Source organism: Homo sapiens, chromosome 6 (assembly GCF_000001405.40).
Source record: "Homo sapiens chromosome 6, GRCh38.p14 Primary Assembly".
Taxonomy (NCBI): Eukaryota; Metazoa; Chordata; class Mammalia; order Primates; family Hominidae; genus Homo; species Homo sapiens.
Window position 1 is genome coordinate 55,899,074 of NC_000006.12, and position 15,753 is coordinate 55,914,826.

The 15,753-nt window shown below is 37.7% G+C and overlaps 1 annotated feature.

Annotated features, from left to right (window-relative positions):
* Positions 10,709-11,243: an enhancer, noted in NCBI's record as "H3K27ac hESC enhancer chr6:55774580-55775114 (GRCh37/hg19 assembly coordinates)". NCBI's record gives its function as "activates a minimal SCP1, AML or CMV promoter by ChIP-STARR-seq in primed H9 embryonic stem cells {active_cell/tissue: H9 hESC(primed)}" and the evidence as "EXISTENCE:reporter gene assay evidence [ECO:0000049][PMID:30033119]".

Here is a 15,753-nt window from a genome sequence, read left to right on the forward strand (position 1 = left end):
AATCTGTTTGTTAGTAATGTTAGTGCAAGAAAGGTCAAAAAAAAAAAAAGGAGGTGCAAAAGAGTGAGACAGAATTATTTTACTGTCTATTCAGTAAACTGAGACATTCATAGATCATATATTAAGACTTCTTAATCAGGGTTATAAAAATCCATTTAAAAATGAATTCATGACCAGGCACGGTGGCTTATGCCTGTAATCCCAGCACTTTGGGAGGCCAAGGCAGGTGGATCATGAGGTCAGGAGATCAAGACCATCCTGGCCAACGTGGTAAAATCCCATCTTTACTAAAAATACAAAAATTAGCCAGGCATGGTGGCACATATCTGTAGTCCCAGCTACTCGGGAGGCTGAGGCAGGAGAATCGCTTGAACCAGGGAGTCGGAGGTTGCAGTGAGTTGAGACTGTGCCACTGCACTCCAGCCTGGTGACAGAGTGAGACTCCATCTCAAAAAAAAAATCATTATACACAAATGATAATGATACTAATAGTAGAGTCTCCAACATACTTTAAAAATACTATGAAGCTATGCACCTTGAAAGAATTCTTTACCTTCTGGCCAGTGCTAGAGAGGTAACGGGTCCTGCGTGCTTATTATCCTGAAGGGGTCTAGTAGTGAATGAAGTTAAGAATAATGGTCCCATGGAAAGCTTTTGAACTAAGAAATAATTCCCGTTTGAATTAACAAGTAAGTCTGGAGCTTGTTTTCTATTCAAAACAGTTTGTTGTTATATAGTAAGAGATAGGAAAAAGGTAAGCCACAGGACCTCCTCAAGAATCTTGAAGTCTAACAGGAGAGGCAGAAAAATTGATGATAGCCTGAGATTATCACCCAGCCTCAAAGATCCAGCCCTAAGCTGAACATGTCCAGGGAAGCCAGCAGAAATCACTCATGGCCCCACTGCCGTTATGGACTGACTGTTGTCTCAGAGAGCCATCTCTGCAGCGCCTCTGCCTCTACAGACCAGAGCTGGAAATCTTCTCTGGGATAACTCCAAGGTCTTCAGCTCTGGCTCCTCAGCCTGTGGAGCTTGAGTCTCCCAAGCATGATGGCTATGGCCTAGTGCGCAGGAAGAGCCAGGTCATCTCCTCCTCCTCCTCCTTCTCCTCCACCCTGCCAGCATTTATGCTGTCTCCACCCCTTACACCCTGCACTAATGCTCTTCAGCTCAGATTTACCACAAATCAGAGCTGTTCACTAGAAATAATAATTCCACTCATCAGAGCCACAAATGTAATTTTAAATTTTCTGGTAGCCACATTTTTTTAATGTACAATGAAACCAGTAAAACTAATTTTCATTTTAGTAATATTTAAGCCCATATATCCAACATATTAGCATGTAAACATGTTATCAAAAGTTATTTATATAGTTTGCATTTTTATACTGTCTTTCAAATCCAGTGTTGTATTTTATGCTTATAGTGCTTTTCAATCCAGAGTAGCCATATTTGAATTCAGACTTGTAACACAGAGATTATCATAATGCACAGCAAAGTTCTAGATATTTGACATCCATGTGGAGACTGAGAAAAGAAAAGATACTCAACACAGTAAAGTTGGGCATGTCCACCTTGCCTACTCTACCATACCCTAGTTACCAGATTCTGGAAGGAACATGTGGTCCTCTGAGCCCTTCCAGTGGTAATTATCAAGTATACTTAAGTACCGTTAGGACCTGGAGGTCCCAAATAATGTCAAATATAAAGAGTAATATTGAATATCCTCCTTATTCTTGATTAAAAAAAAGCGTATCTGACATTTTTCTATTAAGTATAACATTTGCTCTAGATTGTTAGTATGTGCTGTCTATTATCCTTAACTTGTAATGTTTTTTCATCAACAATGAATTTTTATTCTTATCAAATGATGAACTTCTATTAAGAACATCTGAAATTTTTTCATTCCTTAATCTGTTAATGTAGCAAATTTATTAATATACTTTCTAATGTCAAGCCAAACTTGAAACTAGAATACAAGAATTTAATATTTGGTATGTTATCTAAATTCAGTTTGCTACTATTTTGCTTAAGTGTTTTTCCCTCTATGTTCATGAGTAGACGGGCCTGTTATTTTTATTTTACTCCATCTATCTAATTTTGATATGAAGTTACTTTAGTATTGCAAAAAAAATCTATTCTGTAGTTTTCTACTGCCTAGGAATTTTTTTACGACCAAAATCATCTATACCTTTAAAAGTTTGTAGAACTCATTTATAAAATTGCCTAGATCTGATGTTTTCTTTGTGTAAAGATTAACTAATGATTCAATGTCTTTAAATGTTATTTAACAACCCAAGTTTTCTATTTTAAAAAGTCATAAGAAAAGACAGACTAAAAGAAATGCTATACTACAGATACAGATGTAATTGCTGTCAAAATATTAAAAATTAAGATAGCTAAAGAGAAACAGAAAAGAAGAGGTTGTAGGCCCTAAGTTAAGATTTGAAAGATGATAGAGAATAGGCCCGCGCTGGCCAGGAGGTGGAAATCCTGACACAATGCATCGTAGGAGTATAATTTCAAAAGCATCAGCTGTGTAATATGTTCATGGAGGAGCAAATGTTCAAGTCTGGGTGCACTTCATAAAAAAAAAATAGAAGAAAATGAAAAGCAGACTGGAACTTGAATTCAGTGCTTAGGTGTTTGGACCTGACCTTAGTTATTTATAAGTTGTCAAAAATAATGGAACTGTTTCCTTGTCTTTGTTTATTGACAGATTAGAGCTGCCTAATATTGTTATGAATCAACATGTGTTGTACTCTTCTTGTTTACTTTTGTCAACATTTTCTAAGTTTACAAATTATTCTGTAGTGTTCTGAGAAAACTAGTGCTAGTAATGGTTACATCACATCTTGAGTGTCTTTCCCTTTAAAATTTTATCTGAAAGGAGAGAATCAGGCTCATGGTTAATCAGTTACTTCCTGGATGAAATAACGATTTTCACCCTACATAAAAAATAAAATGGAAAAAGTGTAAAACTTTAACTAGGAGTTACTTTATGATGGACTTACGTTATTTCTGTCCTAGCCAGTTTAATGCTAGAAATTGTTATAAAATACTGTGATACATAAAGAATAAGATACTGGTCCTGGCCCAGGAATTTAGCAGCTTGATAACTCTGAGAGAGGAGAACTGTAGGAGAGCTATAATTTATTGACTCCTGTTATGTGCCAAGCACTAAGTCAAGTGTTTTGCGTATATAACTTCATTTCTCCTTGCTATAATTCTATTAGTTAGATATCATTTCTTTTGATTTAATAATGTAACCCAGGTTCTAAAATGTATATAGTCAATACAATTTTAAATTTTAATATTAATTTAAAAATAAAAGGCATAATTTTTTTCAAAAATACTTGTTAGATAAAACAATGTTTAATAACTTATACAAGGTCATACACATATTACTTGGCAGACACAGAACTGAACCCAGGTCTCTGATCCATTGACCATGCTCCAAAACATGTTTTATTGACTGTCTGCAACCTGGTTCATAAAATACAATGTTGACTAGAAGAAAGAGGTGATTGTTATTTAATAAATCTAGATTTCTTATAGAACTGTGTAAACTACTTAACTCAGCACAAGGTACATAAAAAAACAGTTAATAACAGTCATTATTGCTAATATAATTAATACTATTTATTAATAAGGTAAGTCTAGCCAAAATATTAAGCAGTAAAATTTCCAGTACAAAAATTGAATTACTGTGCTGGAATCACCAGATGACTATAAATTCTTTGCTTTGCTTAGGAATAAAAGAGCTCTGGGGAGAAGGATCTATGTGAAATGGATATGGAGGCTTTGTGTCTGCTGCAGAGACACAGAAAGGGTAAGAGCCAAGGCATTCTTAGGAAGAAAAGTTTATTTGTTTTTCTTTCCCTAGGTTCAGATTTCCAGAGGCCCCAAACATAAGCAAAAGAAGGAAAAAAAAATACAGAGTTGAAAGGTAAGGTTTAGATAAACGTGACTCATTTGTTCAGAGAAAGAGTTCGAGTTCCAAAGAGATAATGGGAAGGAGCACCCTTGAGGACTGGGGCAGTCAGAGAAGAGGCCCAGGCTGGGTCATTTTTTTTTTAAGAGACATGTCTATTAGGTTAAATAAGCCAAATAGAGATTTTGAGGGCAGAGAAAGCTTGTAAACCAAGAAATAACTCAGAATTGGTCAGGAAGATGGTGATAGCAACACAAGCAGAGAAGGGTATGGTCTCATCTCCTCACCAAATAGCAGTCAAACTCGAGTATTCGATGTTCTGCCAAATAATATCAAGGTAGAGGTGCTCAAACTAAAATAAACATTTAAGATAAAAATTATTGTGGTTTTATCAGGTGGCGTTTAAAAACAAAGGACAAAAGCAAAGCTATAGCTTGGCCCTGTTCTCTATGTGTCTGTCAGCAGAGAAGCAAGCAAATGAGAAGGAAAAAAATAAACATAATTAATGAAGAAGAAATAATACCCATACCTCTGATTTCCGGAAAAGTTACTATAATGCCTAATTCAAAAGAAAAATTAAAAGTGCAAACAGTGAAAATATTTTATCCAAAAGAAAATTATTACTTTTTAAAGCATTTAGTAGTAAGAAACTATTATGTAACAAAGTATCTAAAGAAAATTAATTTTTAAAGCAATTTATTAAGGGAGCCAAGAAAGAGGATCGCTTATTTAGTGCAATCTTGTTCCAACTGAAAATTGAAACAGAACATTTCCCACAGATTTAGAAACAATCTATTGAAAAAAATTTAAGCATCTTACCAATGCAAGAAAATTGATTCATTCCCTTCCCATTTCAAAAAAAAAAATCCCAGTTATTACATGCACTAATGAAGGGCAATGATCAGAGCCCAAGCCTGCAAGGTTATAGCCAGCTAATATGAGGAAGCAAGTTCATATAAATTTTTCTCTAAGCACTCTTTAATTTTTTTCTATTTTGCACTTTTTTCAAGGTGGGAGGGGGGGTCCAGTGGAATTTGGATGGGTGACACTTTCTTTTATGCACGTGTTAATTTAATAAGGCCAACAGCACACTGTCAAAGTCAGTTTAGGCTGTTATAAAGGAATACCATAGACAGGGTGACTTAAACAACAGAAATTTAATTCTCACAGTTCTCACAGTTCTGGAAGCAGGAAGTCCAAGATTGAGGTACTCAAAGATGAGGAGTCTGGTGAGTGCTGTCCTCCTGGTTTGCAAAGGGTCATCTTCTCCTTGTATCCTCACATAGTAGAGAGAGATCATCTCTCTCCTGTTTGATCTAAGGGCACTAATTCTATTAATGGGGGCTCCATTCTCACGACTTAATTATCTCCCAAAGGCCCATCTCACAAAACCATCATACTGGGTATTTAAGCTTCCATATATGAATTTTGAGGGTACACAAACATTCAGTGCATGGAACATACCAATAACTGTTAGAACTGTATCATTAAGAATATCTTCTAGTCTCAGGATGACAGAGGGGTAAATAAAGAGATGTCACTCTACTTTCTATGTCTTGACTTAAAATCTTCATCTCCACCACCCCAAGGAGCTCAGAAATTTAAATTTTTCTCATTAATTATACTCTTAAAGTTATTGTCCTCCCTTGAATGGGCACTAAAATGCACAGAAAGAATCCTCCCCAGACCAAAGACAGGGATGAAATTTATGAATAGTACAAACAAATAATGGCATTGACATGAATGGAAGGAAATACACATGGGCAAGAACAGAAATGTTCATGGGGCCAAGGGATAAAGGAATAAACTCATGACCATTCCAGACATGGTGCTATTTCATCTGAGTCCTCAACGAAGACCATTCTTTATTACAGAATTCTTTATTACAGAATGGTCTTCCTTTAGCTAAAAAGGATACCCATTTCAATCAACTCTGTGCTGTTTTAAGAGGCTTGGGCCAGAATTGGCACAGGAAGGAAAACAGAGAAATCTATATAGTCATTAGATGAATGAGTTGCCACAACAGATTTTGCAACTAATTTTCCTCCCTGTCAAAAATGGATCAATATACCATACTTTCTTTACCCACTTATCTATTGATAAGCACTTAGGTTGATTTAATAGTTTGGCTATTGTGACTACTGCTGCAATAAACATGGAAGTGCAAATCTCTCTTTGATGTACTGATTTTCTTTCCTTTGGATATATATCCGGAATTACTGGATCATATGGTAATTCTATTTTTAGGATTTTTTGTATGCTAAGTGAAATGAGCCAGGCACAGAAAGACAAATACAACATGTTCTCATTCATATGTGGGAGCTAAAAAAAAAATATCTCAAAGAAGGAGAGAGTAGAATAGTGGTTATCAGAGTCTAGGAAGGGTAGCAGGGAGGGAAGAATAGGAAGAGCTTGGTTAATGGGTAAAATATTGCATTTAGATAGGAAGAATAAGTTCTAGGGTTCTATAGCACAGCAGGATGACTATACTTAATAATGTATTGTATAGTTCAAAATAGTTAGAAGAGAGGATTTTTAATGTTACCAACACAAAGAAATGATAGATATTTGAGGATGATGATAATTACACTTTGCAGTTTGATAATTTGATAATGACACTTTGTATACATGTATCAACATACCACATATGCCCCATGAATATGTGCAATTATTATGTCAATTAATTTTTTTAAACAAAATAAATCTATAGCAGCTGAAAAGAAAACACAGATCAATAGGATTTTCAGAAGATATGGGAAAGAAATTCTCTGTACTTTACAAAAGCAGAAAACAAAATAATTCAATTTGTGCCCCCAGGAACTTTGAGCAGCTAAAGTGCAGAGTGCATTCTGAAGAAGAGCAGAGGAAAATGAAATCAGGAAAACAGCACAGAACCAAAATACAGACATTGCTTATGAAAGTTTTTAGCCCATCAGGAGTGGGGAGTGAAAAATTTATTAATCAGGTATTTTACACAATCAACTACCTATAGTGGTAATGTGGAGAAGACATAAAATGAGGAGATGTTGAGAGCAGGGAGAACAAGTGGAGGCAATAACACACAGGGCAAAAAGGGGTTGAACTAGAAGAAATGGAGAGAGTGGACCATTTTCAACTGTGTCACACAGATAGATTCAGTTTTAGAAATAAACTTTATTTTTTATCTGCATTTTGGTTAGCTAGGATTTGCGAAGAATTTTCCGACCTGTGAAATTAAAAAACCTTGGTCAATAAAGATTTACCTGAACCATAAAGACATGCAATGACTTCTCATAATAAATAAAAATACTTTTTATTCTTTAAAAAACGATCAAATCTTGATCATTTTAAAAGATCAAAACTTCAAATTGGCAAAATAATCATAGAAAAAATGTGTCATTCGAAGATTTCCTGGAAAAGTGAGATGCTCAGAAGTGATAGCTATAGGATTTTTATTCAATTGTAGAAATTAATTAAAGTGATCTCTCAGTTGCTTTGTCCTGAATAATGACCAATAGAATCATTAGTTAATTATACACTATATGTTTTTAAACTATATAGACCATCAATCTATAAAAGATTTCAAATAACTGATAAAGGCAATTGTATATAATAGGACTGAGAATAAGCAGGGAGAAGAGAGTTAAGCTCTGTAAAAGAAAAGGGCTGATAAATGCAACCAAAATATGGGCTTACATAATTCTTCAAACTTAGCATTTAAAAATAAGCACTAGACTTCCTGGAAGCCAGTTATTATTTTTTAATATTAAAAAATTCTGGTCAGGCATGGTGGCTGACTCCTGAAATTCCAGCACTCTGGGAGGCCAAGGCGGGCTGATCACCTGAGGTCAGGAGCTCAGGGCCAGCCTGGCTAACATGGTGAAGCCCCGTCTCTACTGAAAATACAAAAATTAGCCAGGCATGATGGTGGGTGCCTGTAATCCCAGTGACTCGAGAGGCTGAGGTGGAAAAATCGCTTGAACCTGGGAGGCAGAGGTTGCAGTGGGCCGAGATTGCACAGTTGCACTGCAGCCTGGGTGACAGAGATGCCATCTCAAAAAAAAAAAAAAAATCTGTCAGCCATTTCATCTTAAATTTTCTAAAATTTTGTCATTAGCCATTTCTTTTTTTTATTTTTAATTATTATGGATACATAATGGTTGTACATATATCTGGGGTGCATGTGAAATTTTGATACAAGCATATGAAGATCAAATCAAGGTAATTAGGATATTCATCACTTCAAGTATTTATCATTTATTTATATTAGGAACTTTCTAATTCCACTATTGTAGATATTTTGATATACACAATTAATTATTATTAACCATAGTTGCCCTATTGTGTTACTGAACACTAAACCTTATTTCTTCTATCTAACTGAATTTTGGTACCCATTAACCATCCCTTTATCATACCCAATCCCCCTGTCCTTCCCAGCCTCTGGTAACCATTATCAGCTATTTCATTTTAAATTCTTTATAGTCTCTTCCAAACTGATAATCAGACATATCCAATTGGATTTTCAGCCAGAGCTTTAAATGACATCTAAATTCATTATATTTTCCACTAAATCAATATCCTATGCTGGCTTCTTTGAAGTATCTATTAATGGCATCACCATTTTCCCAAAACACAGTAATTCACATACATTATCAAAAAAGAAAAGACTATAGAAAAAAGTAATATAAGCACTCTTAGAATTATAGCTATAGCTATAGATATACTTTCAAACCTTTTCTATACATGCCTGCATATTATTTTAATGATGTATTTTACATACTACTCAGTGATCCATTTTTATCATTTAGCAATAGATTGTGAATATTTATGACCAAATATACAGATTTATATCTTCAGTTTTGTGACTGTATTATATAGATTGGTTCTAATTTGCTGCTTCAAAAACAAAGATTCAAGGCCAGATGTGGTGGCTCACACTTGTGATCACAGCACTTTGGGAAGCCAAGGCAGGAAGATCACTTAAGAACAGTTCAAAATCAATCTGAGCAACAAAGCCAGACCTTGCCTCTACAAAAAATTTAAAATATTAGCTGGGCATGGTGGCATGTATCTGCAGTCCCAGCTCCTTGGGAGGCTGAGGCAGGAGAATTTCTTGAGCCCATGAGTTCGAGGGTACAGTGAGCTACAATTATGCCACTGCACCCCAGCCTGGGTGACAGAGAGAGACCCTGTCTCTAAGAAAAAAAAATAATAATCAAAAAAACAAAGCTTCAGGAAAAGGTTTTGTTCATACATATTCACATGTTTGTCTGAATAATTTATTGCTTCTGAAGGTGGAATTGCTGGTGAAAGGTATACTGTATACTTCTATTTTTATAGTTTCTGGCATGCATTCCCAAATTCCCTATCTGGAGATTTGGCTAATTTATATTTCCACTAGCAGTGAATGAATGCACCTGTTTATAGAGATTTTGGTCTTTGATCCATGGTATTTTTTATTCCTTTTGTTTCTATCACTGTTAATTGTAAATTCACATTGTCTCAATGAGTCACTATCATGTACTCATCTACCCTACATCTTAGCAGGATGATTGCAATAATGTCCTGACTGGTCCCCAACTTCCAGTAATTTGCTCAGCATTATGGTGATACCAAATAACCAGATTGTCCATATGGGTGGCTGAGATAGTGAACCCATTGCTTTCTTTTGGTTCAATGTATACAAGCTTTGCTTCATGCACAAATTATTGAAAATATTGAATAAAATTATCTTCAAGCTATGTGCATAAAGTGTATATGAAACAAATAATTTTCATGTTTAGGCTTGAGTCCCATTCTAAGACAGTGATAATATGTATACAAATATTTCAAAATACAAAAAAAAATTAATCTGAAACACTTCTGGTTCCAAGCATTTTGGAAAAGGGATACTCAACCTGTTTATCCAAATAAGCCTATTGCTTAAGGAATAAAAATATAAAAGATTGAACTAATACTACATATTAACAGCATGTGAGCTGGGAATATGCTAAAGACAGTTAAAGTAGTCTCCAAATGAGAGTAAAAATATTGATTACATCATTTTAGAATTCATTAAATTTAAGTTGCATGTTTCAATTTCTAAGATACCAATTAAAATAAATGTGGGCAAATCATCTCTAAACCAGAGAGAAAAAAGGTGAACTAAAGAAAAACTTGATCTGAAAGTAAGCAAGAAAAAAAGAAAAGAAACATGGAAACCCAAAATATAACATTAGAAATAAATTCAAATACAGCTGTAATTACAATACATTTAAATGGATTGAGTTCACCAGTGGAAACAAATTTTAAAAATGCCATATTGGTTGGACTTTATTTTTTTTTTCTTTTTTTTTTTTTTTTTTTTATTGATCATTCTTGGGTGTTTCTCACAGAGGGGGATTTGGCAGGGTCATAGGACAATAGTGGAGGGAAGGTCAGCAGATAAACAAGTGAACAAAGGTCTCTGGTTTTCCTAGGCAGAGGACCCTGCAGCCTTCCGCAGTGTTTGTGTCCCTGGGTACTTGAGATTAGGGAGTGGTGATGACTCTTAACGAGCATGCTGCCTTCAAGCATCTGTTTAACAAAGCACATCTTGCACCACCCTTAATCCATTTAACCCTGAGTGGACACAGCACATGTTTCAGAGAGCACAGGGTTGGGGGTAAGGTCACAGATCAACAGGATCCCAAGGCCAAAGAATTTTTCTTAGTACAGAACAAAATGAAAAGTTTCCCATGTCTACCTCTTTCTACACAGACACGGCAACCATCCGATTTCTCAATCTTTTCCCCACCTTTCCCCCCTTTCTATTCCACAAAACCGCCATTGTCATCATGGCCCGTTCTCAATGAGCTGTTGGGTACACCTCCCAGACGGGGCGGCTGGCCGGGCAGAGGGGCTCCTCACTTCCCAGTAGGGGCGGCTGGGCAGAGGCGCCCCTCACCTCCCAGACGGGGCGGCTGGCCGGGCGGGGGGCTGACCCCCCCACCTCCCTCCCGGAAGGGACGGCTGGCCGGGCGGGGGGCTGACCCCCCCACCTCCCTCCCTGACGGGGCGGCTGGCCGGGCAGAGGGGCTCCTCACTTCCCAGTAGGGGTGGCTGGGCAGAGGCGCCCCTCACCTCCCAGACGGGGCGGCTGGCCGGGCGGGGGGCTGACCCCCCCACCTCCCTCCAGGACGGGGCGGCTGGCGGGGCAGAGATGCTCCTCACTTCCCAGATGGTGTGGTTGCCGGGCGGAGGGGCTCCTCATTTCTCAGATGGGGCGGCTGCTGGGCGGAGGGGCTCCTCACTTCTCAGATGGGGCGGTTGCCAGGCGGAGGGTCTCCTCACTTCTCAGACGGGGCGGCCGGGCAGAGACGCTCCTCACCTCCCAGACGGGGTCGCGGCCGGGCAGAGGCGCTCCTCACATCCCAGACGGGGCGGCGGGGCAGAGGCGCTGCCCACATCTCAGACGATGGGCGGCCGGGCAGAGACGCTCCTCACTTCCTAGATGGGATGGCGGCCAGGCAGAGACGCTCCTCACTTTCCAGACTGGGCAGCCAGGCAGAGGGGCTCCTCACGTCCCAGACGATGGGCGGCCAGGCAGAGACGCTCCTCACTTCCCAGACGGGGTGGCGGCCGGGCAGAGGCTGCACTCTCCGCGCTTTGGGAGGCCAAGGCAGGCGGCTGGGAGGTGGAGGTTGTAGCAAGCCGAGATCATGCCACTGCACTCCAGCCTGGGCACCATTGAGCACCGAGTGAACCAGACTCCGTCTGCAATCCCGGCACCTCGGGAGGCTGAGGCTGGTGGATCACTCGCGGTTAGGAGCCGGAGACCAGCCCGGCCAACACAGCGAAACCCCGTCTCCACCAAAAAAAATACGAAAACCAGTCAGGCGTGGCGGCGCGTGCCTGCAATCGCAGGCACTCGGCAGGCCGAGGCAGGAGAATCAGGCAGGGAGGTTGCAGTGAGCCGAGATGGCAGCAGTACAGTCCAGCTTCGACTCGGCATCAGAGGGAGACCGTGGAAAGAGAGGGAGAGGGAGACCGTGGGGAGAGGGGAGAGGGGAGAGGGGAGAGCTTGGTTGGACTTTAAAATCAAGCTATGTATTATTGGTAAGATATATCCTAAAATTTAATGAACCTTAAAGCTATTATAAAAGCATGATTTGTCATAAAGAGATTTACAACCTAATAAAAGTTTTAATTAACAAGGAAAATAAAATACCTAAAAATTTTATGCACTTAATAAGATAGCTACAAAACAGATAAGGTAAAAAAAAAAATTGAGAACATCACAAAAAGAAATGGAACAATCACCAACCACCAACATGGTGGGAGCATTTACATATATCTCTCAATAATGGATAAGTCAATCAAACCAGAAAGGACATGGAGCATTTAAAGAGCACAATTAACAAGCTTGATCTAAGGGGATTATATAGAACTTTAAACTGGTAATTAAGGAATACACATTCTGTTAAGTTAAATGCAGACAACTGATCATGTAATAGGCCATAATCCAGTCTCAACAAATTTTAAAAATATGTAATTTAATACAGAATATATCCTCAGATCAGAATGTAAGTAAATTAGAAATCATTGTGGATAAGATAAAATGTTGTATAATTTTATTTAAAAAATTATAAGACACATGTTAACTCATAAGTCAATTAAAAATACAATGGAAATAAATATGCATCTAAAATTGATATATACAGACTATATACAAAAGTTGTTAAATGTAAGTAAAACAGAATTTAAAGGGAAACATACAGTATAAATGCTTATATAAGAAGAAAGGTAGATAACTAATGTACTAATTGTGCAACTTAAGGAATTAGATTAAAGAACAGTAAACAGTAAAACTTTCTTTTTTAAGCCGTCACACAAGGTGAAGTGCTGTGGCACTATCATGGCTCAGTGCAGCCTCGACCTCCAGAGCTCAGTGGATCTTCTTACTTCAACCTCTGGAGTAGCTGGGACTACAGGCACACACCACCATGATCGGCTAATTTTTGTATTTTTTGTAGACACAGGTTTCACTGTTACCAAGGTTGGTCTCGAACTCCTGAGCCCAAGGGATCCTCCCACTTTGGCCTCCCAAAGTGCTAGGATTACAGACGTGAGCCACCATGCCCAGCCTAGTTTCTGAATATCTTCTCCCATTCTGTAGGCTCTCTGTTTACTCTGTTGATAGTTTCTTTTGCTGTGCAGAAGCTGTTTTTTTGTTTTTGTTTTTGTTTTTGTTTTAAGAGCAATGATCTATATTCATGTTCTGCTATCTGTTTTTTACAGTTTTTGAAATTAATCCTCAACCTCTAGACTTTTTATGAGAATTTAACTTTCTTGCATCAGAGTGATACCAGACTGTACTCTTGATAACTTTTAATGCAGGTTTTAATTATGTTATTGCATGCTTAATTTTCTTAGCTCACACAGCCAACTACTTTTGTGTTTTTAACTGTTTCTGAATCAGGTTCTCATTTATTCTCTATCCATTCTCTTAACTTTCTATCTTTCATTACTTTTAGAAGGATCTTGTAAGTGTGGAGCTGCCAAATAATGTTCCCACCTTACTGTCAGGTATCTGGGGCCCTTGGATCCTTGGATGCAGGTTATTTTAAATGTCTGAAATTACAACAGTGAAAATGAATCCAAGTGGAAGGTTTCTCCTCTCCCAGTGGTGCTCTTGCCTTCTGTGGAAGTCTTCCAGAATTCTCTGTGCTAACCTACTTCACCAAAAGGGAAAATTTCAAATTTGGCTCTCAGAGTTCTCATCAATCTATACCATCACGCACAAATTCCTGAAATGTTATGGCAAATTTACAGTATTTTCCCCTCATTCTATTATTTTTGTCATTACAGATGAGAATATAAGAGGAGGAACTAGAAGTCAGTGTTTAGGTAATCATTTTATCTGACAGTCCCTCAAATAGATTTTTTCAACTAAACATTTTAAAAATCAGGGAAGTGGTCAGGCACAGTATCTCACACCTATAATCCCAGCATTTTGAGAGGTCAAGGCGGGCGGATCACTTGAGACCAGGGGTTCCAGATCAGCCTGGGAAACAGAGTGAGACCCTATTTCTGAAAAAAAAAAAAAAAAAAAACTGGACATGGTGGCACATGCCTGTAGTCCCAGAGGTACTTGGGAGGCTGAGCAGGAGGATCACTTGAACCTAGGAAGTCCAGGCCGCAGTGAGCCTTGATCGCACCACTGCACTCCAGCTGGAGTGACAGAGCAAAATCCCCATCTCAATCAATCAATCAATCAATAAAAATAAAAAGAAGGAAAGTAACGCTAACTTTTCAGGGATTTCATGTGGCTAACACTGGTTTGTGTATCCTTGTAACACTAGCATCAAAGAAGCCAATGTCACTAGGAATTGGTTATTTTTAAGTATATCAGCCCTCCTTGGCTCAAGTCCTTACTCAGAAAATGTGGGATATCAGCCCATCTAAACAAGCTGACTCTCTCCCATTTGTCATGATGCTAACAAAAATGAGCCAAGCAAATATTTAGTAATAGTTGACAGGCAAGACTCCCTGATTTCACAGAGACAAGGGAGGTAACTTCCCCAAAGTCAAGTACAGACCTTGGCTATAGACTCTCCTCTTACAGGGCTCACTTTACTTCCTGTTACAAAGTTTTCAGGGGTAAGCCCCTTCTCACAGGATCAGCTCACCACCCTGCACTCAGCAGGACAGACAGCTGTGCTTGAGTTGTTTACAGTCCCATCAGGTAGGCTGACCTTACAACTAACTGACAGCCAGTGTTCTCTCCTGCAGAGTTGAGATTATCCTCATTCTTTACTTGAGTAATTATCCATGATTCCTTTCATTCAAACATTTTCCTCAAAATTCACAGAAGTTGCCCTTACCTGAGAGAAGCTCCAATTTCATTGGTTGTGTCAATCAATTTTAGGACCCAAAAAATACAAAAGGACAACTGTAAACTGCTCAAAATTATGTGACTTTTTCATCTCTAGGGTCAAGTACAGTGTCAGACTCTTTCTAAGTGCTCAATAAATATCAAGAGCTCACGTGATGACAGATGCTTTCTGTCATTATTTCTACATGACACAGTTAATTCCATTCTTAAAAGTTTTATCTCCTCAGTGCCCTTAATTGCAGTTTATAAGAGGATAGAATGTCCTTTCCATACAAGGCCTAACCTTGGTTATATGAAAACAACCAAGCCGTTTTAACTTTTCTTCAGTTTATTTCCATGAGGCACTCAAGAACATTTTGAAATTTAAGAGAAAAAAAAAAGATTATTTTGGCTCAAATGAAAATGCATTTAATTATTATTAACTAATTATAAAGTCAAAGGCTAATTGAAATCCTTTCTCCTAGCTTACATACAAGTTCTTTTAAAGCTAATATTAGAATTTTCATTGTAATGTAAACTGATGTTTATTTTCATGCAAATAAACTGCCTCACCATTAATGATGTTTTAAATTTCAACTTAAGATACTATCAGTGATGTTTGGATGGTAGAAAAAATTAGTTGCTGCATCATATTCCATGTATACAATATTTATTTCGTGCCAGCTTCAAACTGTAAAACTGGGTCAAGACAGAGACATAGGTTGTTAATAAATGTGGTATTTTTTAATAGGAACATATATTTACATGTTTACATATATTTATAAACATGTATATTTATATATAAACATGTATATTTATAATAAACATGTATATATATTGGTTCCTTAATATATCACAGCAGAGTGGCTTAAGTCCAGTGCCTTCATTCATAAGATTATTTACAAAAATTTACAAAAGGAATAGCTTCATATTTGTCAACACCAAATAATTCATCAAAATTCTAATCTTATAATATTCTAATTGTATTGTATATTTTATTTAC